Source organism: Homo sapiens, chromosome 19 (genome assembly GCF_000001405.40).
Source record: "Homo sapiens chromosome 19, GRCh38.p14 Primary Assembly".
Classification (NCBI taxonomy): domain Eukaryota; kingdom Metazoa; phylum Chordata; class Mammalia; order Primates; family Hominidae; genus Homo; species Homo sapiens.
The window spans coordinates 14,501,250-14,526,117 of NC_000019.10; the positions used below are offsets into that span (position 1 = coordinate 14,501,250).

Sequence of the window (24,868 nt, forward strand, 5' to 3'; positions counted from 1 at the left end):
GCCTCGGTCTCCTCATTTGTAAAATGGAGATAATAATAATACACACCAGCCGGGCGTGGTGGCTCACACCTGTAATTCTACCACTTTGGGAGGCCGAGACAGGTGGATCACTTGAGGCCAGGAGTTCAAGACCAGCCTGACCAACATGGAGAAACCCTGTCTCCACTAAAAATGCCAAAAATCAGCCGGGTATGGTGGTGTGCACCTGTAATCCCAGCTACTCAGGAGGCGCAAGAATCGCTTGAACCTGGGAGGTGGAGGTTGCAGTGAACCGAGATTACTCCACTGCACTACAGCCTGGGTGACAAAGTGAGACCTCATCTCAAAAAAAAAGGCCGAGTGTGGCGGCTCATGCCTGCAATCCCAGTACTTTGGGAGGCCAAGGTGAGTGGATCACCTGAGGTCAGGACTTTGGGACCGGCCTGGCCAACATGGCAAAACTCTGTCTCTAGTAAAAATACAGGCCAGGCGTGGTGGCTCACACCTATAATCCCAGCACTTTGGGAGGCCGAGGCGGGTGGATCACGAGGTCAGGAGATCGAGACCATCCTGGCCAACATGGTGAAACCCTGTCTCTACCAAACATAAAAAAATTAGCCGGGTGTGGTAGCAGGCGCCTGTAGTCCCAGCTTAGGAGTCTGAGACAGGAGAATGGCGTGAACCCGGGAGGTGGAGCTTGCAGTGAGGCGAGAGCCTGCCACTGCACTCCAGCCTAGGTGACAGAGCAAGACTCCGTCTAAAAATATATATATAATATATATATATATAAATTCGCTGGGCATGGTGGCGTGCACCTGTAATGCCAGCTATTCTGGAAGCTGAGGCAGGAGAGTCACTTGATTCTCGGGAGGCAGAGGTCGCAGTTAGCTTGATTCCGGAGGCGGAGGTTGCAGTGAGCTGAGAACATCCCACTGCACTCCAGCCTGGGAGACAGAGCGGGACTCCGTCTCCAAAAAAAACAAAATAAAATAAATAATAGTACACACCTCCTTAGGTGGTTATCAGCATGTTAGGATTAAATGGGCTATTCCATGTCAAATGCCCCGATGGTGCCAGGCAGATAGTAAGCACTTACTGCATACCAGCTGCCATTACTAAAATGTGCTGAGGGCACAATCATAGATAGACGCAATATGTCATAATGGACACACCATAGAAATAGAAACCTGTATTGGATCCTCGCTGTGTGTCAGGCTCTGTGCTGGTCGCTTTTCATGTCTAATTTCACTGGATCATGTTGAGCTCCTGGGGATGGGACTGATAGCACCCCCACTCTACAGAGGAGGAGACTGAGGCTCAGAGAGGGGAGACATGAGCTGAAAGATGCACAGTAACTCATCGATGTGGAATCTTAGCTCCAACCCCAGGACATGAGACGTCCCTCAAGGGAGTGAGTTCTACTTTCTTCAACTTTGGGGACAGGGCGGACTGAGATGTGGGGGACAGGAGGGACAGCACCAAGGGACATAGCCCCAGCCAGGTGATCCTGGAGGCAGGGCTGAGTCCTGTGGCCTCAGGTTACAGCCCCAGCACTGTCACCTGCCTTTTTGGTTTGTTTGTTTGTTTTTAATTGAGACAGAAGTCTTGCTCTGTCTCCCAGGCTGGAATGCAGTGGCGCAATCTTGGCTCACTGCAACCTCTGCCTCCCGGAGGTTCAAGCAATTCTCCCGCCTCAGGCTCCTGAGTAGATGGGATTACAGGCACCCAAAACCATGCCTGACTAATTTTTGTATTTTTAGTAAAGACAGGGTTTTGCCATGTGGGTCTTGAACCCCTGACCTCAGGTGATCCACCTGCCTCAGTCTCCCAAAGTGCTGGGATTACAGGCGTGAACCACTGCGCCCGGCCTGACACCTGCCTTTGACTGCTGGGTTTTAGGAAGTGACACCCAGCAGCTCTGCAGGTCACACTGTTTTCTAGAGGGGTCTTTGCAGAAGCAAAGAGAAACAAATGGCAACAGTGGTGATGATAAACACCACACCAGCCCTTCTCCCTGAACTCCTGAGGTATTTCTCTGTCTTGCTTTCTCTATAAGGACATCTCAGGGCATCTCAAACTGAACCCATCTGGAATTGAGGTCTTGATTGACACCCCAAATGTGCCATTTACCCTGTCTTCCCCTGCATGGTGATAGCAATTCTTTCAGTTGATCAGGCCCCAAACCTTGGAATAAGACTTAAATACTACCTACCTTCCTTCCTCTCTCTCCTTCCTTTTTTTCTCTCTTTCTCTCCTTCCTTCCTTCCTTCGTTCCTTCCTTCCTTCTCTTCTCTTCTCCTTTCCTTTTTTTCTTACTTCCTTTCCTTCTTCCTTCCCCTCCCTCCCTCCCTTCCTCCCTTTCCCTCTTCCTTCCTTTCTTTTCCCTCTCCTCTCCTCTTCTTTTCTTTCTTGACAGAGTCTTGCTTTGTTACTCAGGCTGGAATACACTGGCAAAATCATGACTCCCTGCAACCTCAACATCCTGGGCTCAAGCAATCCTCCTACCTCAGCCCCTCAAGTACCTGGGACCACAGGTACGGGCCACTACACTCAGCTAATTTTTAATTTTTTGTAGAGATGGGATTTTACCATGTTGCCAAGGCTGGTTTCAAACTACTGAGCTCAAATGATCCTCCTGCCTTGGCCTCCCAAAGTGCTGGGATTACAGGCATAAGCCACTGCCCCAGCCGACTCCTACCTTTCTCTCATAGTCCAGCTCTGTCAGCAGCACGTCCTATCAGCACTACTTTCTTTTCTGTTCTTTTCCTTTTTTTAAATCCCAATGGGCAAGCAATGACAGTGAAACTCACAGACACATCAGATATTTTTAAAAAGCTTTTCTTATAGGCACAATATTTTCTTTTCTTCTCTCTCTTTTTTTTTTTTTGAGACAGGGTCACGCTCTGTCATCCGGGCTGAAGTGCAGTGGTGCCATCATAGCTCACCGTAGCCTTGACCTCCTAGGCTCGAGTGGGTGTCCTACCACACCCAGCTAATTTTGGTATTTTTCATAGAGATGGGGTTTTGCCATGTTGCCCAGGCTGATTTTGAAGTCCTGGGCTCAACCTCCTGCTTCAGCCTCCTCCCAAGTAGCTGAGATTACAGGAGGGAGCCACCTATCTCATCTCTGGCCCAAGATATACATACATACATACATACATACATACATACATACATACATACATATATTTAAAGACAAAGTCTGGCTATGTCGCTCAGGCTGGAGTGGAGTGCAGTGGCACGATCTCAGCTCACCGCAAACTTGGCCTCCCAGTTTCAAATGATTCTCAGCCTCAGCCTCCCAAGTAGCTGGGATTACGGGTGCATACCACCAGGCCCCGCTGATTTTTTTTTCTTTTTTTTTTTTTGCAGTTGCAAGATTTAATAGAGAGAAAACAAAGCTCCCATTCAAAGGGAGGGGACCCAAAGGGGGTAGCCATTGCTGGCTTGAATGCCTGGATTTATATCCCGATCATTGTCCCTCCCGCTGTGCTCTCAGGTGATAGATGATTGGCTATTTCTTTACCTCCTGTTTTTGCCTAATTAGCATTTTAGTGAGCTCTCTGATTGGTTGGGTGATTTTTGTATTTTTAGTAGAGATGATGTTTTATCGTATTGGCCAGGCTGGTCTTAAACGCCTCACCTCAAGTGATCCGCCCTCCTCAGCCCCCCAAAGTGCTGCAATTATAGGTGTGAGCCACCGTGCCCGGCCCCAAGATGTATTCTTGGGTGGGTGTGGTGGTGCGTGCCTGTGGTCCCAGCTACTTGGGAGGCTGAGGTAAGAGGATGACTTGAGTCCAGGAGGTCGAGGCTGCAGTGAGCTATGATCGCACCATTTCACTCCAGGCTGGGCAATAGAATGAGACCCTGTCTCTAATAAACAAAACAAAACAAAGCCAAAAAAAAAAAAAAATCAGCCAGGTGCGGTGGCTCATGCCTGTAATCCCAGCACTTTGGGAGGCCAAGGTGGGTGGATCGCCTGAGGTCAGGAGATTGAGACCAGCATGGCCAACATAGTGAAACCCCACCTCTCTTAAAAATACAAAAATTAGCTGGGCGTGGTGGGACATGCCTGTACTCCCAGATACTCGGGAGACTGAGGCAGGAGAATCACGTGAACCCCCGAGACCGAGGTTGCAGCAAGCCGATATTGCGCCGCTGCACTCCAGCCTGGGCGACAGAGCGAGACTCTGTCTCAAGACAAAAAAAAAAAAAAAAAAAAAAAAATCCTGGGCTACTTTCGCCCCACCTGCTCCGACCTCTCCCGGTCCAGCCAGCCCCATCACCTCCTGCCTGGTGGTGCGGTGAATGGCTTCGGTCCTGGTCCACCCGCTCTGCCCTTACCCCTACGGTCAGTTCTCCGCACAGAGGCCAGGGGGCGCCCGTGAGCACCCAAATCAGGTCACCTCCTTTCTCTACGGAGGACCTCCCCCCAGGAGGCCATGAGCCCCCAAAGAACCTGCCCCTGTGAGCCAAAGTGTTTTTTATTTTCAGGTGTCACGCCTGGCTACATTGATGTCCAGCATAATATTCCTGGGGAACGTTGGGGCCCCATGAAGGCAAACAACCCAGGTCCCAGCTCTGTCTTCCTGGTAAAAGCAAATCAGGCCTTGTCCCTCCTAACTCTCAATTTCTCTTCCAACTCAGGAATGCAGGGCCTGGCCTGTCTCATTCCTAGACACGCCCTGCCCTGCTCTCTCCTGTTCTCTCGATTCCAGTCACACCAGGCCTGTGTGTGTGTGTGTGTGTGTGTGTGGATGGCCCTGTGGGGGAGTGGTTCCCAGATCTCCAGCCTAGGGGCCTCTTCCCCGGGCCTTGGCTCCAGGAGCCCCTCCCTGCGCCCTAACAAGCTCCTGTCCCTTGGCCTGTGTGTCCAGGGCCTGCCAGGCGTCTTCCCCTCCACGCTGCGGGCTATGGGAAGTGGCTCGGTCAGTTTAATGAGTTGAATGATGCCCCACCCTAAAATATATGTCCACATTCCAGAACTGTGAATGTGACTTGACTTGGAGTAAGTGTCTTCAAAGATGTAATTCAGTGGAGGATCTCGAGATGAGATCATCCTGGATTAGGGTGGCTGGCCCCGAAATCCAATGATGGGTGTCCTTATAAGAGATGGAAAAGGAGAAGACACAAAGACACACAGAGGGGAGGGCCACGGGACGGCAGCGGCAGAGATTGGAGCGATGCAGCTACAAGCCCAAGGAGGCTAAGGATTGCTGAAACCACCAGAAGCCAGGAGAAAGCCGTCCTCACTTGTTAATGCCAGGTACAGGGGCTCATGCTTGTAATCCCAGCACTTTGGGAAGCCAACGCAGGAGAATTGCTTGAGCCCAGGAGTTTGAGGCCAGCTTGGGCAACACAGTGAGACCCTGTCTCTACAAAAAATTTAAAAATTACGCTGGCATGATGGTGCATGCCTGTGGTCTCAGCTACTTGGGAGGCTGAGATAGGAGGATCGCTTGAGCCCAAGAGATCGAGGCTACAGTAAGCCCTGATTGTGCCATTGCACTCCAGCCTGGGCAACAGAGTGAGATCCTGTCTCAAAACAAACAAGCAAGCTGGGTGCAGTGGCTCATGCCTGTCATCCCAGCACTTTGGGAGGCCGAGGCGGGCAGATCACCTGAGGTCAGGAGTTCGACACCAGCCTGGCTAATATGGTGAAACCCTATCCCTACTAAAAATACAAAATATTAGCTGGGCGTGGTGATGTGTGCCTGTAATCCCAGCTACTTGGGAGGCTGAAGCAGGAGAATCACTTGAACCTGGCAGGCGGGTGCTGCAGTGAGCTGAGATCGCGCCACTGCACTCCAGCCTGGGCGACAGAGTGAGACTCTGTCTCAACACCACCACCACCAACAACAAATTACTTGTCGTTTGAAGCCACCCAGTTTGTTGTGGCAGCCCTAGGAAACGGAAACCCACAGGTGTGTTTCCTAGGAGACTGTGAGTTTCACGAGCTCCATCCTCCCTCCCCTATGCCAGATGGCCAAGTTTTCTGCTTGGCGCATCTCCTGAGCCTAGCACTGAGGTGTCCCTCAGGAACTGTGCCCATAGACTAGTCTACAGATTGTGAAGTAGAAACAGGTCCCCCATGCCAGGCGCGGTGGCTCACGCCTGTAATCCCAGCACTTTGGGAGGCCGAGGTAAGGCAGATCACCTGAGGTCGGGAGTTCGAGACCAGCCTGGCCAACATGGTGAAACCACGTTGCTACTAAAATTACAAAAATTAGCTGGGCGTGATGGTGGGTGCCGGTAGTCGCAGCTACTCAAGAGGCTGAGGCATGAGAATTGCTTGAATCTGGGAGGTAGGTGTTGCAGTGAGCTGAGATCATGCCACTGCACCCCAGCCTGGATGACAGAGCAAGTATCGGTCTCAAAAAAAAAAAAAAAAACAAAAAGAAAAGAAAAAGAAAAAAAGAAACAGGTCCCTCAGGAAAGAGGGGCTCTCCCGGACTGAATATCTGCTTCTCCCTGGTGGGAAAGCTGAAGGAATTGGGGTATGGGGGTGGGGTCCCTGGCAAGGGTGGTGGGGACTACTAGCTGACCCGAGGGCTGGGTTATCCTTCCTCTGCACATACCATGACATGAACTATCGTAGGAAAAATGTTGCAGGTCCTCTTGTCTGAATTACTTTGTCACTTAATTACTCACTTAACAAACACTCAAAGGGTCAGTTCCGGGGCAAGCATCACTCTGGCAACTGGTGATACAGATTATTAGGATGTAGTTGGTGACCTCAAGGGAACTCACAGTTGCCACAAAGCGGGGGACATTTTTTAGTATTCTCCTGCCGTTGTCTCTCCTGCCCCACTGACAAAGAGGGAAGGTGTCTCAACTAATAATCAGGGAGTTTGAGAAATCAGCCTCTGCTTCCCCTTGGGCAAGTGTGATGTCAACAGACTATGAAAGTACTTTCAGCCAGGAGGGGTGGCTCACGCCTGTAATCCTAGCACTTTGTGAGGCTGAGGCGGGTGGATTGCCTGAGCTCAAGAGTTCGAGACCAGCCTGGGTAACATGGTGAAACCCTGTCTCTACTAAAATATAAAAAATTAGCTGGGCGTGGCAGCATGCACCTGTAATCCCAGCTACCCAGGAGGCTGAGGCAGGAGAATCGCTTGAACCTCGGGGGCAGAGGTTGCAGTGAGCCAAGATTGCGCCACTGCACTCCATCCTAGGTGACAGAGTGAGACTCCTTCTCAAAAAAAAAAAAAAAAAGAAAGAAAGTGCTCTCAGGTCTGTGGGAGAGAAGATGAGTGCATGCTCTTTAAGGCCTAGTTTTTTTGTTTTTTTTTTTTGAGACAGTGTCTTACTCTGTCGCCCAGGCTGGAGTGCAGTGGCGAGATTTCGACCTCAGGTGATCCACCCAGCTGAGCCTTCCAAAGTTCTAGGATTACAGGCGCAAGCCACCGTACCCAGCCAAGGCCTAGATTTTAATAGAGAATATAGATAGATGCTTCTTGTTTGTGTTGTGCCATTTTTAGGTGTTTTTTTTTTCTTTCTTTCTTTCTTTCTTTTTTTTTGACAGAGTGTTGCTCTGTCACCGAGGCTGGAGTGCAGTGGCACAATCTTGGCTCAGTGCAACCTCCACCTTCTAGGTCCAAGCGATTCTCCTGCTTCACCCTCCAGAGTAATTGGGATTACAGGCACCTGCCACCACGCCTGGCTAATTTTTGTATTTTTAGTAGAGACAGGGTTTCAACATGTTGTCCAGGCTGGTCTCGAACTGCTGACCTCAGGTGATCCACCCACCTCGGCCTCCCAAAGTGCTGGGATTACAGGCGTGAGCCACTGCGCCTGGCCCATTTTTAGTATTTAGTGGAAGTTTGGTGCATTGAGATTTCCTTTATTCTTTCCTTTTTTTTTTTTTTTGAGACAGAGTTTCACTCTGTCACCAAGGCTGGAGTGCAGTGGGGCAATCTCAGCTCACTGCAACCTCTGTCTCCTGGGTTCAAGCAATTCTCCTGCCTCAGCCACTGGAGTAGCTGGGGTTACAGGTGCCTGCCACCATGCCCAGCGAATTTTTGTAATTTTAGTAGAGACGGGGTTTCACTGTGCTGGCCAGGCTGGTCTGAAACTCCTGACCTCAGGTGAGCCATCCGCCTTGGCCTCCCAAAGTGCTGGGATTACAGGCATGAGCCACTGTGCCCGGCCCAGCTTGACTTTTAGATATAATGTTTCAGTTTTTAGTAGAGATGGGGTTTCACCACATTGGCCAGGCTGGTCTCGAACTCCTGACCTCAAATGATCCACCCATGGTGGTCTCCCATAGTGCTGGGATTACAGGCATGACCTGCTCCGCCTGGCCTGGGGCAGGTTTTCTGCCAAGTGCTTTAGATATATTTGCTAATGTTATTCACACTTGCTCTATTCCTGGCCTGGATAAAGCGCTTCTCAGGGATTAGCTGTCTGAGTTCTAGCTCCAGAAGAGTGAGAAAGGAGGGGCTGCGATGTTTGATTAGTCCTGTTATACATGGGAAGAAACTGAGGCTCTGAAAGGTTTTGTCATTTGTTTGAGGAAATGTGGTGAGCAGAACTTGGACTTGGCACCCCCCTACCCCAGAAGCTGGGTTCTTCATCGCTATGTTCTTTTGTTTCCTAAATGCACTAACTCACCCAGATGTCACAGCATCTCTATGAGAGCTGCACTTCTGTTTCCCGTTTCTTCTGTTTTTTTTTTTCGAGACAGAGTCTTGCTCTGTCACCCAGGCTGGTGTGCAGTGGTGGGATCTGGGCTTACTGCAGCCTCTACCTCCCAGTTTCAAGCGATTCTCCTGCCTCAGCCTCCTGAGTAGCTGGGATTACAGGCACCTGCCACCACGCCCAGCTTTGTATTTTTAGTAGAGACAGAGTTTCACCACGTTGGCCAGGCTGGTCTTGAACTCTTGACCTCAAGTGATCCATCCGCCTCGGCCTCCCAAAGAGCTGGGATTACAAGCATGAGCCACCACACCTGGCTAATGCTCAGCTAACGTTTTAGGAGGGTGGATCACCTGAGGTCAGGAGTTCGAGACCAGCCTGACCAACACGGTGAAACCCCATCTCTACTAAAAATACAAAAATTAGCTGGGTGTGGTGGCGGGTGCCTGTAATCCCAACTACTCGGAAGGCTGAGGCAGGATAATTGTTTGAACTTGGGAGGCGGAGGTTGCAGTGAGCTGAGATTGCATCATTGTACTCCAGCCTGGGTGACAGGGCAAGACTCCGTGTCAAAAAAAAAAAAAAAAAAAAGAAAGAAAAGAAAAGAAAAGAAAAGAAAAAAAACAAAAGCAAGCAATCAAACTGGGACTCAAATCCGGAAGCAAGAACGATGTGAGAGGAGTCAGGGGTCGCCAAACACTAATTTAGATCTTCACACCCAGCTGGGTGGACCTGCCAGAATAAAGGTGGGGAATAGCACAGGAATGAGGAAGCTCTTTATGTTCACAGCATCTTGTGTGAGAAAAAAAAAAAAAAAAAGCGGAGTGTACAGTATGTACTCCTTGTGTAAAAAAAGAAAAATGTATTCCCCGCAGCATCTCAGGAAAGGCGCAGGAGAGACGGGGAACATTCGTATCCAGTTCGGGGGTGTGGAATCGGATGGTAGGGTGGGAGGGAGGACTTTCACTCTCTGTATCCTTTCCAGTGTTGTATTGTGATTACACAGTCAAAAAATAAAACTGAAAATTTAGAAATTGTGTTTATGCTTATGTAAGCACAGACTCATCTCTTGGAGGAAGCACAAAAATGGTTTTTTTAAAAAAGGAAAAAAAGGCCGGGTGCAGTGACTCACGCCTGTCATCCCAGCACTTTGGGAGGCTGAGGTGGGCGGATCACTTGAGGTCAGGAGTTTGAGACTAGCCTGGGCCAACATGATGAAATCCTGTCTCCACTAAAAATACAAAAATTAGCCGGGCGTGGTGGTACGCGCCTGTAATCCCAGCTACTAGGGAAGCTGAGCCAGGAGGGTCGTTTGAGCCTGGGAGGCAGAGGTTGCAGTGAGCCGAGATTGCACCACTGCACTCCAGCCTTGGCGACAGACCGAGACTCTGTCTCAAAAATGAGAAAAGGAAAAAAAAAAAAAAAAATCTGTGATGCCAATGCCAGTGTCTATAGTGGTGCAGTAGGATGGGGAACTTCAGGGCCAGGGGAAGGATGGGAGGACTCGGCTTTTCACCATAGGCCAAATGGACCTATTGAGTGCTGTTCTATGATTATAAAAAAAAAACACTGCTGGTATTGTAATGCAGGTGGGTCAAAGAATGAGTCAGTTGCACACGTCCTGTCATGGAAGGAGCTCTGAGACCTGATCAGAGATGCAGCATGGAAAAGTGAAATAAATCCATTAAAGAAAGCCCAAGGCTGAGCCTATAATCCCAGAGCTTTGGGAGGCCAAGGTGGGAGAATCGCTTGGGGCCAGAGCAACATATCAAGATATCAAGATATCGGCCAGCGCAGGTTCACGCCTGTCATCCCAGCACTTTGGGAGGCCGAGGCAGGTGGATCACTTGAGGTCAGGAGTTCAAGACCAGCCTGGCCAACATGGTGAAACCCAGTCTCTACTAAAAATAAAAAATTAACCAGGCATGGTAGCACACGCCTGTAATCCCAGTTACTCGGGAGGCTGAGGCAGGAGAATCGCTTGAACCCAGGAGGCAGAGGTTGCAGTGAGCCGAGATTGCGCCACTGCACTCCAGCATGGGCAAAAGAGCAAGATTCCGTCTCAGGAAAAAAAATTAAAAAAAAAAAAAAAAAAAAAGGAAGGTAGAAGTGGCTCACGCCTGTAATCCCAGCACTTTGGGAGGCCAAAGCAGGCACATCACGAGGTCAAGAGATCAAGACCATCCCGACCAACATGATGAAACCCCATCTCTAGTAAAAATACAAAAATTAGCTGGGCGTGATGTCATGTGCCTGTAGTCCCAGCTACTCAGGAGGCTGAGACAGGAGAATCACTTGAACCCGGGAAGTGGAGGTTGTAGTGAGCCAAGATTGCACCACTGCACTCCAGCCTAGGCAACAGAGCAAGACTCCATCCCCCTCCCCGCAAAAAAGTTAACATATCAACAAATCATCTCTACAAAAATTAGACAAATTGGCTGGTTGTGGTGTGGAGTGCCTGTGGTCCTAGCTACTCAAGAGGTTGAGAGGCGGGAGGATTGCTTGAGCCCAGGAGTTTGAGGCTGCAGTGAGCTATGATCCTACCACTGCACTCCAGCCTGGACAACAGAGTGAAATCCTGTCTTCAAAAAAAGAAATTAAAAAAAAAATCCTGAGTGCGGTGGCTCACACCTGTAATCCCAGCACTTTGTGAGGCCGAGGGGGCGCCGATCACTTGAGGTCAGGAGTTTGAGGCCAGCCTGGCCAACATGGTGAAACCCCATCTCTATACTAAGAATACAAAAATTAGCCTGGCGTGGTGGCGCACGCCTGTAATCTCAGCTACTTGGAAGGCTGAGAATTGCTTGAACCTGGAAGGTGGAGATCGCAGTGAGCCGAGATTGCACCACCGCGCTCCAGCTTGGATAGAGCGAGACTCTGTCTGAAAAAAAAAAAAAAAAAAAACAAGCCCAAGACTTTGGGAAAAGTTTGCATGTGGGTGCACCAGATATCCGGCCAAGATAGACAAGCCAAGTAGTGGCCTTTGAGCAAAAAAATGCATGTGTGAAAGGTCTTTGGGCCCTTTTACCACCAAGATTTTCCCCTCAAAATCCCACCGTCCCACTCCTCACACTGCTACCTGGTAGGTTGCTTGGCCGTGTTTTTTGTGAAGTTCCCAGAATTGTATATACCTCAAGGCTTCGTGCACCTTTATGTTTGTGACACTTCAGTATGAAGTTCACAGGGACTTGGTGTATAATGGAGACTTGGGGGTGGGGATGGCAGCCCTGGGATTTGTGTCACCAATGAGGTCAGGTCAGTTCCGCAATAAATGTGACCTTGGCGTGTGGGATACTTTGGTAAACATCTCTTAGCTCTTGATATTCCAGGGTCACCTCCTGATTGGGCTGGCGTCTCCTGGCTTAATGTGGCTGCTCTTCAAAGTCACCCCTGCAATGTCTTTAGGGAAAAGCCCTCTAGACTTGACTTGTCCAACAGTTGCCACTGGCCACATACATGTGTGGCTGCTAAGCAACTGAAGTGTGGCAGGACTGAGGAACTGATTCTAATTTTATTGAATTTGTAAGATGTTTAAGTAAACGGTATATAGAACGTTCTAGTCATTGCAGAAAGTTCTCCTGGACTGGCAGGGCTGCCCCTAGCCTGTTTTCAGCGCTTCAACTGTTTCAGTGGGAAGGGAAAGCAACTCTTAGCTTGACACTTTTTTGTGAGACACAGCCTCGCTCTGTCACCCAGGCTGGAGTGCAGTGGTGGGATCTTTGCTCACTGCAACCTCTGCCTCCCATGTTCAAGTGATTCTCCTGCCTCAGCCTCCTGAGTAAATGGGACTACAGGTACGTGCACCACGCCTGGCTTTTTGTTTTAATAGAGACGGGGTTTCACCATGTTGGCCAGGCTGGTCTGAAACTCCTGACCTCAGGTGATCTGCCCGCCTTGGCCTCCCAAAGTGCTGGGATTACAGGTGTGAGCCACTGCGTCTGGCCCAGTTTGACTTTTGGATACTGTGTTTTAGTTTTTTTTTCTTGATACAGGGTCTCACTTTGTCACCCAGGTTGGAGTGCAGTGGCACAAACACAGCTTGCTACTGCCTCCACCTCTTGGGCTCAATTGATCCTCCTGCCTCAGTCCCATAAATAGCTGGCCCTACAGGTGTACGCTGCATTCTCCGGCTGAATTTTTAAATTTTGTAGAGATGGGGTTTCACAATGTTGTCTAGGCTGGTCTCAAACTCCTGAGCTCAAGGGATCTACCCACCTTGGCCTCCCAAAGTACTGGGATTACATGCCTGAGCCACTGCTCCTGGTCTATATACAGTGTTTCCACTTTAGAACATTTTGTAACAAAGCAGCAATACATTGTTTTAAGCCTGAGCAATTACTTTATAATAAAACCAGTTATTTTAAAGAAAGTTACAAAGTAAAAGCAGCTTTAGTAGCCTGCAAATAAAGCCAAGGCAGGAAATGGGTCCTCTCTACAGTGGGGCTAGTCCTGGGCAGGACCTTGAGCTCCGGTTTGGCCAGCCTTCAGGACGCCCAGCCCGTTCTAGCAGGGAAGGAGTGATAAGGAATTAAGAGGCCAGACCCTGGGTTGGCCCCTTGGCCCCAGAGCCAAGGTCTGCTGAAAAAGCCAGGGACCCTGAAGAAAGGCAGAATTAGGAGCCAGACCCTGCCTCTCCCCACCGCTACTTTGACTCCAACCTTCATCAAAAAATGATCCCCAAGGCCACTGTGCTTGGGTCTCTGGTTTTTTGGACCCCGAGTCTGGGTAGAAGTTCTCCAACCCACTTATGGCTGAGGAAGGGAGACTTACGTTTCCCTTGCAGGGCACTTGCCTCCTGCCCATCCCACCCTCTCACCTTGATTGAATTTGGAAGGATGCCCAGCTCCCCACTCCACCCCCAAAACCAGCAGAACCCTCAAACAGAGTCACAGGACCGCTCCCCTGAGGTTTAGCATCAGTCTTTAATGCTGTCGCACTTCATTGACTAGTCACACACTTTGGTCTCATGTTGGCAGTGGCAACTTACAATGAGTCTAAAGGTCTGAGCACTGGACTGGCCTCCAGGGAACAGACATTTGTTCCAACTCCCCTTCCCTCCCCAAGATTTCTTCAGAATTCCATTATGGCCCTATACAGAGAGCACTGGCTGCCGGGGACAGGTTTTGAGTGTACACCAACTATACATGGAATTATAAAAACATATTTACAGACGTTCCACAGTGCTCCTGTAATCAGAAGCAAAGACCCTTTTATCAAAAGGGATTGTATCTAGGGCTGTGCAAAATTCAAAAGGATCAGATCCCTTTGAAAGAGTCCATAGTCCATGAAACAAAAAATTACCTGGGCCACTGGTAAGCCCCACGTGTGCCAAGATTGCCTTACAGAAATGTAAAGAGTGTGACCCACAAAGTGAGGACATTCAGCTTCACTGGAGCCAGAGGTCAGGAAGGCCCCTTGCTGAGGCCAGGCTCCCAGACCATCAAGGGAGAGGTGGCTGCACTTGCTGGAGTCACTCACTGGAGGCTGGCTCCCTTGGTCCTGCTGGAACGAGAGGTATTGCTTGTGGACGCCAACCAGGCAGTTCTGCAGGAATAGTTTAGGTTCTCAATTTGAGATGGCCAAAGAGAAGACAGAATTCTCCAGGAGAAGAGCAAGACATGGGAGACAAATACAGAATAAAGCACAAACTGATCACACAACAGAAAAGGAGGAGTGTACAGGGTCTGGGAATCAAGACTGCAGGTTGACATTATCTACCAGCCAGAAGCAAAAAGACACAGAGGGATCAAGTCCATCTGCTGGTCTGCCTCTCACCCCTGGCCAGGGACTGGAGGTGGATGTGGGCCCATCCCGGGAGGGCTGCCAGACCCAGTGGGGCAGACTGGAATGCCTTTTCCTGCTGTTCCCACCACCTGATGCCCTATAGCTCGAAAAACCACTGAAGTCTAGTGTGCGACTTTGAAAGATTGTAATATATGCTCTGGAAAACATTCAGCAGTACGAAAGCCCTCCCTGGGCCCTCCCACCCTCTCATGGTCCACAACTGGTAGAAAGGTCCAGAAATCCTTGAGCTCTGGAAAGGTCCCTGGTCAGTCCTTGGGGAGCTCAGATAGCTATATTGGAAGAACCTGCTCAAGTACGGTTCTTGATGTCTGGGGAATCCTTTCGGGGAAGATCACTTCAAACTCAATAATGAGGTCCCCACGTTTCTCGGGTGTTTTGGGGAGGGGGAGGCCTTCTCCAGGAACTTTTCGCCGCATGCCAGGCCTGATAACATCTTTGAATACGACGGGTATCGTCCTGCCGTCCAGAGTGGGGACGTTCACTGTGCAGCCACACAGAGCCTTGAAAAGCAAAAGGACAGCATTAGATGGAAGCTGGCTCAAGAGGCTCAGCTCTTGCCCAGAGGCCGTCTGCCATAGATAAGACCCATCAGGCCTCTGCAGCTAAGACCTGGCCCCCAAATCTACACGTCCCCACCACGAAAGCTCCACAACAGCGCCCTGGTCAGTCCTGTTCACTGTTGTGCCCCAAGCCTGGCACGCACCACACACCCCAACACATTGGTTCAGCAAATACTAAACTGCTTCAAAAAGCAGCCATCGCCCTCTACAGACACCGCCCCACCTGGCACCTTACCTCCCGGAGGCTGATCCTGGCAGGATAAATGACATCAGAGCCATCTCTCTTAAAGATATTGTGGGGCTTGTCCTTTAAAACAAAGACGATATCAGCTGGAATGTTGTTGGAGGTCTGGTCTCCTTCCTTGGGGAAAGTGATTTTGGTTCCTTCTTTCCACCCCTTCTTCACTTCGATGGTCAATATTTTGTCTTCGTTTCGAATGCTCTTTCCGTCGGGGTTTAGCCGCTTGTGGGAGATTTTCATCTTCTTGGTACAGCCGCTGTAGATCTCTTCAAGGGAGACTCGAAGGTCGTGGGTGACTGGGGGATCTTGCTTCTTTCGGGCGGGCTCTTGGGCAGAGCGGGAGCGGCCAAAGTTCACGTTGGTGAAGCCACCCATGCCCATAGGGAAGCCAGAGAATGGGTCATCAATGTCCATGCCTTCCTCCCCGTTCCGCTGCCCAAAAAAGGTGTCAAAGGGATTTCTGCCACCGAAGAACTCAGCAAACATGGCATGAGGGTCTCCATGGAATGTGTAGCTGAAAGAGGTACCATTGGCACCACCGCCGCTACCGCCACTGGGGCCACTCCCCTTTAGGCCTGAAAAGCAGATTTAGAAGCAGTCAGATGGCTGAACAGCAGACTCTCTCTCGAGCTTCCCTTACAGGGGGAAACAGCTTGGAAGCCATGGGGGAGGAACTTTTTTGTCTGTCAGGGGAGAGCAAGGAAGAACCCCAAGTTTCTACCTCTCACTGCCAACAGCAGAGACGCCCCCCTACCAACAGTATTTCCGCGTAGCCTGACAGTGGAAAAGGACTCATGCGGTTAGGTGTTCACCTCCAGGTGCCACCTAGGCCCTGCCACTCCTGGACTGACCCATCCTCCTGGCAACATCACCAAGAGATGGCTAAAGACACATGGTCCAGGGTCGGCTTTCGGTAAGTGTTTACTCTCAACGTTTTAGGGCTAATGGTGCGTAGGAAGAGAAGAAAAAAAAAAACAAAAATAAATAGGGAGTTTTTAAATCCTCACACATTAGCATTCACTGCCACCATCCTTGCACAAAAAGTCAGCTCCAGATCAAGCCCAGAAGCCAGCCTGAATCATCAACGGGCACAGGAACAAAAAGCCCTGCTCTCCTTACCCTCCGAGGCGGCCCCGCTCTCCGGACCTGGGCGGCCGCTGCCTCCTGCGTGCCCTGCCGGGGCCAGGTCATCACTTCCCGGGAATTATCCCAACCCAGCCCCCAAGCCCACGAACGGGGTCGGCTCCTGCATTCACAACCCCTCGCCCCGCAGCTGAGCCGGAGGCGCCGCCCCGCGGACCCCGGCGGCCGAGCCCAGGTGAGCCCGGGTCCGCAGCGGGCTCCGCCGCGCCGTCCCCGTCGTCACCCCCGGCTCCCCCACCCCCATGCACCGCACCCCGGGGCTGCTCGGGGCCGCGGGAGGAGGCGCCCGGGGAGGGGCAGCCCCAGACATGCTAGAAGCTTCTGGCCGAGCGGCTGGGCCAAGGCTCCTCCTCCCACCGCGCGGCCGCCAATCCGAGGGCGGAGGCCCGCGAGGCCGGAGGGCGGGGCAGCTCGGCCCCACGGCCCGGGGCGTCCTTCCCGGGGGGCCGCCGAGAGGGGCCAGCGTGCCTCAGTTTCCCTGTCTGTCAAAAGGCGGGGCCGCGCCCCTGGCCGCGAGCACACACCTTCCTCCCCGTAGCGGTCGAAGATCTCGCGCTTGCGCGGGTCGCTGAGCACGTCGTAGGCCTCAGCGATCTCCTTGAACTTCTCCTCGGCGCCGGGCTCCTTGTTCTTGTCCGGGTGGTAGCGCAGCGCCTGGCGGCGGTAGGCCCGCTTGATCTCCTCGTCCGACGCGCCGCGGGCCAGGCCCAACGTCTGGTAGTAGTCTTTACCCATGACCCCCTCCTGCGGCCCGCCGACCCGCTGTCGCCGTCCCCCGGCTCCGCCGCCGACCAGTCCCGGACTCTATATACCCGTCCGGCGGAAGCTTCCAGAGCCCGCCAGCCCCCTCCAGAACCTTCCGCCCCGCCCGCCCCCGCGGCGCCGGCCAATCGCCGCCGCCCTTTCAGCGACACGCGACATCCGGGGCGGGGCCTCGCCGTCAACGGCCGCCCGCGCGGGGCCACGCCCCCTCCCGCTCCGCCCTCGGCAACACCTCCCCGCGGCGCGCGCGCACAGGTCGGAGGAGGCCCCGCCCACCTTTCGGGACGAGCCAATCGCGACCTTCTTTCCCTCTCTACGCGGCCCCAGCTACCCTGCGTCCCGCCCTCCGCCTGGGTCAGTAGGTCGGGACCCACAGCGAACTTGCTGTTCCAGGAAGGGGTGGGGCCTGGGACTACCCAGTCCTTTCCCCGGGAGGCGATGAACCTGCTCGCCCTTGTCTCGTGGGGCCTGCGGTGGGCTCCCGCCCGGTGACGCCGGACGAACTACCTAACCTGTGTCTGCCTAACCCAGGGGCCCCCTTCTATCTACAACATGGCAATAAGAGAACCTATCAGGCCGGGCGCGGAGCCTCATGCCTGTAATCCCATCACTTCCTGAGGCCAAGACAGGAGGATCTCTTGAGCCTAGGAGTTGGAGACCAGCCTAGGCAACATAAGGAGACTCCGTTTCTATTTAAGATTAACAAACAGGCCGGGCGCGGTGGCTCACGCCTGTAATCCCAGCATTTTGGGAGGCCGAGGCGGGCGGATCACTTGAGGTCAGGAGTTCGAGACCAGCCTGGCCAACATGGTGAAACCCCATCTCTGCTAAAAATATAAAAATTACCCGGGCGTTGGTGGCACGAACCTGTAATCCCAGCTACTCAGGAGATTGAGGCCTGAGAATAGCTTGAATCGGGGAGGCGGAGGTTGCAGTGAGCCGAGATCCGGCCGTTGCACTCCAGCCTCGGCAACAGAGCGAGACTCCGTCTCATAAATAAATAAAATAAGTAAAATAAAGTAAAATGAACAAAAAACCCACCAGCGCTATTCTCCCAACCGTGGGGAGAAGGATTTTGGGACGGAAGACTGCCTCTGTTCTCACCTCCTAAAGCAAGGTGAGGATCTGGACGGAAGCGCATCTCCCAAGGTCCTCCCAGTCCCGCCTTCTTCCCTTTACTGCCCTCTCAAGATCACTTGCCGCTAAATTTGAAATTTATCTTGTCTCTTGGCTTTCAATGTGTCTTCCCTCCCAGTCTGACATCGCCACCTGGGCAGGGGCCAGGTCCTGTCTGCACTGGGTCCCCAGTGCCTGGAACGCAGTGAGAACCTCATAAATATTCCCCGTTCTTACACACGTGCTTCTTTTTCTTCCCCAACTACCTTTATAATTTGGGGGGACATAGGTGTGTCACACACCTTTCAAGGCCTCTGTTTCCTCAATTGTAGGCAACACGATCGCGTTTGGCTCTGAAAGTCTGGGGTGCCTCTGTCAAGGACAGAGCTGATGGGAAAAGGAGGCTCAGAAAGGGGTTCCACCTGGGAAGGGCCCAGGGAAGTGGGGGAGGTTCCTGGAAGAACTGCCTGGGAGGTCAGAGCCATGTAACACTGGCTCTGGAACCAGACAGCTGGGCTTCATTCCCAGCTCCAGCATTTCCCGGCTGGGTAACCTTGGGTTAGTTACTAGGCCTTTGCTGGCCTTAGCTTCCTCATCTGCACAATGAGGAATGAGGATAGCAGTTGTGCCCACATCATGAGGGCTTTGAAGTTTATATGAGTCAACATTTGCAAAGTGCTCAGAGCAGGCATGGCACAAAGGAAGCATTGTCAAAGGGGTGACTAACCATTTTCTTAGTGGTGGGCTCTTCAGCCATCACCTCATTCCTGGCAGCTAAAAGATTCCAGTGACAGCTGCCCCTGGGCAGACAGGGACTCCTGAAGAAGAAGACCATCCTCCTGCCTCCTGAGGCGGGAGGATCTCTTGAGCCCAGGAATTTGAGGCTGCAGGCAGCTATGATTGTGCCACTGCACTCCAGCCTGGGTGACAGTGAGACCCTCAGCCTCCCCATAAAAAAGTTACATAAATAACTATCAGGAGCATCATGGCGGATAGTTACATAAATAACTATCAGGAGCATCCAGCAGGCAGATCTGGTTCTCTTGGCCCACTCAATGATCTCTGAGGTAACTGCATCAGCAAGAACTCTGGACTAGAACTGGACAACCCGGGAGGATGGGGCTGAAATTCCCTAGACATCGAGAACCATACTTGAGCAGGGGTCCTGAAGCAATTATGGGGAGAGAGAACTTGATATTTTTTAAAAAGTTACTAGGCTGGGCACAGTGGCTCACGCCTGTCATCCCAGCATTCTGGGAAGGTGAGGTGGGAGGATCTTTTGAGGCCAGGAGTTCCAGCCTGGGCAACATAGTGAGACCCCATCTATACAAAAAATTAAAAATAAAAAAAATTAGCCGGGTGCAATGATGTGAGCCTGTAGTCCCAGCTACTCAGTGGACCAAGGTAGGAGGATAGCTTGAGCCCAGGAATTTGAGGCTGCAGTCAGCTATGATTGTGCCACTGCTCTCCAGCCTGGATGACAGTGAGATCCTGAACCTCCCCATAAAAAAATTATATAAATAACTATCAGGAGCATTATGGGGAAAAACTCAGAGCTTGTGACTTTATAAACTAGTATTTTATAATATAAATTTAATTTAGAATTACAAGTGCAGCAGCCTCCAAAGGCTTTAACATGGCTCTGGGTGGGCCTTTCTGGTTGTTCTAAAGTTTCTTGCCATAGGCCAGGCACGGTGACTCAACGCCTATAATCCCAGCACTTTGGGAGGCTGAGGCAGGTGGATCACCTGAGGTCAGGAGTTCGAGACCAGTCTGGCCAACGTGGTGAAACCCCGTCTCTACTAAAAATACAAAAATTAGTCGGGTGCGGTGGCAGGTGCCTGTAATCCCAGCTACGCTGGAGGCTGAGGCATGAGACTCGCTTCAACCCGAGAGGCAGAGGTTGCAGTGAGCCAAGATCGTGCCACTGTGCTCCAGACTGGGTGACAGAGTGAGAGTTTCAAAATAATAATAATAATAATAATAATAATAATAATAAAAGTTTCTTGACACACTGGAGGGGAACATTTTGCTAAAAACACTGCGGAAGGGATGTCTTTGTGCTTGGGGTCAGTGTTAGAGCTGGGAACTCTCCCCTCCTTGAGTAAGCCTGGGTCATGTTCAGGAAGTTTTGTTTGTTTGTTTTGAGATGGAGTTTCACTCTTGTAGCCCAGGCTGGAGTGCAGTGGCACGATCTCAGCTCACTGCAACCTCCGCCTCCTGGGTTCAAGTGATTCTCCTGCCTTAGCCTCCCAAGTAGCTAGGACTACAGGTGCTTGCGACCATGCCTGGCTAATTTTTGTAGTTTTAGTAGAGATGGGGTTTCACCATGTTGGCCAGGCTGGTCTTGAACTCCTGACCTCAGGTGATCAACACGCCTTGATCTCCCAAGGTGCTGGGATTACAGGCGTGAGCCACCACGCCCAGCCAGTTCGGGAAGTTTTAATTTTTTTTTTTTTAATCAGTTCTAGGAGCCAGGAAATTAAACAAACAAACAAACCCAGTAACTCTCTCCTAATGGACATGGTACTGTGACCTGAACACTCACTGAGAACTTCAGAATATTACTGAAAAAATGGCCTCTGCGTCAACTTCAGCAGATATTGGGCTCTTAACTTGGAAAAGCTGTTATAGTTGTTTGTTGTGTCAGCGTGGCTAAGCTCTAGAACCTAGTTATTCAACTAAACACTAATCTAGGTGTTGCTGTGAAGTTATTATGTTGATGCGGTTAGGTTAGCACGTCTACAGTTGCTTGACTTTAAAAACAGGACATGACCCTCAAGGATGTGAGGATGTAAGCGGGCCTCATCCAATCAGTCTAGAGACTTTAAAAAGCCAACACTGAGGCCGGGTGTGGTGGGTCACGCCTGTAATCCCAGCACTTTGGGAGGCTGAGGCAGGAGAATTACTTGAACCCAGGAGGCAGAGGTTGCAGTGAGCCAAGATCAGGCCGCTGCACTCCAGCCTGGTGACAGAGCAAGACTCTGTCTCGAAGAAAAAAAAAAAAAAAAAAAAGCCAACACTGAAAGCAAACACTGAGGTTTCCCGGCAGAAAAAGCATCAGCTCCTGCCTAAGTTTCCAGCCTGCTAGCCCACCCAGCAGATTTTGGTGTTGTCTAGCCAGCCCCCACAAGCATGTAAGCCAATTCCTTGAAATAAATCTCTGCACACAAACACAGACACACACACAGACACACACACACACACACACACACACACACACACACACACACACACACTCCTACTGGCTCTGGCTCTGTGTCTTTGGTAAAATCCTGACTGATACAGGAACTATGCAAGTGAGTCTGAGGACAGTTGCTTTAGTTCAAATCCTGGACCAACTGTTTCCTTATTTCCTACGTGTGTGATCTTCCACAGCCTGCTTGATCTCTGGGAGCATTAGGTCTGTCCTCCATAAATTGGAGATAAGAGTAGATTAGGCCGGGTGCGGTGGCTCATGCCTGTAATCCCAGCACTTTGGGAAGCTGAGGCGGGTGGATCACTTGAGGTCAGGAGTTTGAGACCAGCCTGTCCAACGTGGTGTCTCTACTAAAAACACAAAAATTAGCTGGGCATGGTGGCATGTGCCCATACTCCCAGCTACTCGGGAGGCTGAGGCAGGAGAATCGCTTGAACCTGGGAGGTGGAGGTTGCAGTGAGCCAAGATCACGCCACTGTACTCCAGCCTGGGCAACAGAGCCAGACTCTGTCTCGAAAAGAAAAGAAAAGAAAAGAGTAGATTTTACGCTGCTGGTGTTGCTATGTGGATGAAATTGAGAGGAAATGAACAGGAAGTGAACAGGAAATGAACATTATAATAACATTTTTATTTTTATTTTTGAGATGGAGTCTCACTCTGTCACCCAGGCTGGAGTGCAGTGGTGTGATCTCAGCTCACTGCAACTTCCGCCTCCTGGGTTCAAGCGATTCTCTGCCTCAGCCTCCTGAGTAGCTGGGATTATAGGTGCCTACCACCACACCTGGCTAATTTTTGTATTTTTAGTAGAGACTGGGTTTCACCATGTTGGCCAGGCTAATCTCGAACTCCTGATCTCATGATCCACCCACCTTGGCCTCCCAAAGTGCTGGGATTACAAGGGTTGAACCCTACACCCGGCCTTGTTTTTGTTTTTTTTTTTTTTTGAGATGGGGTCTCACACTGTCACCCATGCTGGAGCACAGTGGCACAATCTTGGCTCACTGCAACCTCCACCTCCCAGGTTCAAATGATCCTCCTGCCCCAGCCTCCTGAGTAGTTGGGATCACAGGTGCCTGCCACCATGCCCGGCTAATTTTTTGTATTATGGTTTTGGTAGAGATGGGGTTTTGCCATGTTGCTCAGGTTGGTCTCGAACACCTGAGCTCAGGTGATCCGCCGGCCTTGGCCTCCCCAAGTGTTGGGATTACAGGCATAAGCCACCATGTCTGGCCTATAATAACATCTAACACTGACATGGCCAAGCCTGTTCCAAGTACTCGATGAATATTAACTCATATACTTGTCACAACAGCCCTATGAGGTTGGGCTATCATTACACCCATTTTACAGGTGGGGAGATGGAGATTCTGAGAGGTCATGTGACTTCCCCAGGGTCACCCAGAGAGTAAAATGCTGAAGTGTTTAGCATACTGAGTGCTTACAGTAGACACTCAGCTTGTGTATAATGTGACTCAGATGATCATAAAGCCTTAATTTTAAGAAAATTGCATTACTCCTGTCTTCAGCTCTTCACCTGTTGAAAAAAAGACCTTCAGGCCAGGTGCGGTGGCTCACATCTGTAATCCCAGCACTTTTGGAGGCCAAGGCAGGAGGATCACTTGAGCCCAGGAGTTCCAGATCAGCCTGGCCCACATAGTGAGACCCCATATCTGCAAAGAATGACAAAGAAATAAGCTGGGCATGGTGGCACGTGCCAGCTACTTGGGAGGCTGAGGTGGGAGGATCACTTGAGCTCAGGAATTCCAAGCTGCAGTGAGCTATGAGTGTGCCACTGCACACTAGCCTGAGAGACAGTGAGACCCTGTCTCAAAAATAAATAAAAATCCAAATAAATTTGGAAAAGATCTTCAAGGCTGGGTGCGGTGGCTCATGCCTGTAATCTCAGCACTTTGGGAGGCTGAGGCAGGTGGATCCCTTGAAGTCAGGAGTTCGAGACCAGCCTGGCCAACATGGTGAAACCCCATCTCTATTAAAAATGCAAAAATTAGTCAGGCATGGTGGCGTGCACCTGTAATCCCAGCTATTTGGGAGGCTGAGGCAGGAGAATCACTTGAACCTAGGAGGTGGAGGTTGCAATGAGCCGAGATGGTGCCACTGCACTCCAGCCTGGACAACAGAGCGAGACTCGTTCTCAAAAAAAAAAGACCTTCAAAAAGCGCTATAGCCATATGAGCCAACAATCCCACTCCCAGTGGGATACCCATGTGAAATGAAAACCTTTGTTCATATATAAAAATTCATGGCTGGGTGCGGTGGCTCATGCCTGTAATCCCAGCACTTTGGGAGGCCGAGGCGGGAGGATCACAAGGTCAAGAGATGGAGACCATCCTGACCAACATGGTGAAATTCCGTCTGTACTAAAAACACAAAAATTAGCTGGGCATGGTGGTGCACACCTGTAACCCAGCTATTCGGGAGGCTGATGCAGGAGAATCGCTTGAACCCAGAAGGTGGAGGTTGCAGTGAGCCGAGATTGCGCCACTGCACTCCAGCCTGGGTGACAGAGCGAGACTCCATCTCAAAAATAAAAATAAAAAAGATACTATTATAATGTTCATTTCCTGGCTCCTCTCAATTTCATCAACATAGCAACACCAGCAGGGTAAAATCTACTTTTTTTGTTTTTTTTTTTGAGATGGAGTCTCATGAGCGAATGTTTGCTGAGGCTTTATTAGTTATTACCAACAGCAGTTAAACCCTAACTGTCCTTCAATGGATGAATGGATAAACAAATGGGATCCATCCACACAATGGAATACTATTCAGCTATAAAAAGGAATGAGCTACGGATACAAAAAAACAACATTACAGATGAACCTCATATGCATTATGTGGGTGAAAGAAGCCAGGCTCAAAAGGCTGCATGATTCCATTTCACTCAACCTTCTGGAAAAGGCAAAAGTATCAGGACAGAAAGCAGATGAATGCTTGCCAGGGGCTGGGACCTGCAACAAATGGAGTAGTTTGGAGAATTTTTTGGGTTGGTGTAAATGCTCTGTATCTTGATTGTAGTGGTGGTTGCATGACCGTATGTGTTCAGAGCTGTACACTAAAATGGGTGAATTTTACTACATGTCAATTACACTTCAATGAAAAAAAAAAAAAGAAGGAGAAAAACCAAACAACCCAGGCAAGACAGGATAGGGCTTGGGAAACCTCTCTCTGGGATTCCTGACACAGCAGAAACTTGCTAACGAGCCCTGGCTTGTCTAGTCCCAGCTTCACCTCCCCTCACACACCCAGCGAGCCAGCTCATTCATACACAACCCAAACCAGCCAAGCCAGGTTCTGGAAAAAGTCAAGATCCGACCTGATCTGCCCATGGGAAATACAAAAGGAGCTTGTGAGACACGACATTACCAAACACATCACATCTCTGGCATTCAAATGGTCTCGGGTTCCCCC

The 24,868-nt window shown here is 50.7% G+C and overlaps 1 protein-coding gene across 7 annotated transcripts in view, besides 3 other annotated features; it reads right to left on the reverse strand.

Moving 5' to 3' along the window:
• Positions 1–13,519: 13,519 nt before the first annotated feature.
• DNAJB1 (DnaJ heat shock protein family (Hsp40) member B1) overlaps positions 13,520–24,868 on the reverse strand; it is a 45,623-nt gene continuing 34,274 nt past the window's right edge. For 5 of the 7 annotated variants that reach the window (XM_047438745.1, XM_006722733.3, NM_001313964.2 and 2 more), the window contains 2 exons: positions 15,217–15,797; positions 13,520–14,921 (listed from right to left, as the gene is read on the reverse strand). In XM_047438745.1, coding sequence (XP_047294701.1) covers positions 14,691–14,921; positions 15,217–15,708 — 723 coding nt within the window. In that variant the 5' untranslated portion in view covers positions 15,709–15,797 and the 3' untranslated portion in view covers positions 13,520–14,690. Of the gene's footprint in view, positions 14,922–15,216; positions 15,798–16,341; positions 16,689–16,889; positions 17,149–24,868 lie in introns of those variants that run through there. The other 2 variants (NM_006145.3, NM_001300914.2) reach the window with 2 other exon arrangements.
• Positions 16,430–16,999: a silencer, noted in NCBI's record as "silent region_10256". NCBI's record gives its function as "represses an Ori minimal core promoter by ATAC-STARR-seq in GM12878 lymphoblastoid cells {active_cell/tissue: GM12878}" and the evidence as "EXISTENCE:reporter gene assay evidence [ECO:0000049][PMID:35858748]".
• Positions 17,210–17,529: a silencer, noted in NCBI's record as "silent region_10257". NCBI's record gives its function as "represses an Ori minimal core promoter by ATAC-STARR-seq in GM12878 lymphoblastoid cells {active_cell/tissue: GM12878}" and the evidence as "EXISTENCE:reporter gene assay evidence [ECO:0000049][PMID:35858748]".
• Positions 18,442–19,171: an enhancer, noted in NCBI's record as "NANOG-H3K27ac hESC enhancer chr19:14630503-14631232 (GRCh37/hg19 assembly coordinates)". NCBI's record gives its function as "activates a minimal SCP1, AML or CMV promoter by ChIP-STARR-seq in naive H9 embryonic stem cells {active_cell/tissue: H9 hESC(naive)}" and the evidence as "EXISTENCE:reporter gene assay evidence [ECO:0000049][PMID:30033119]".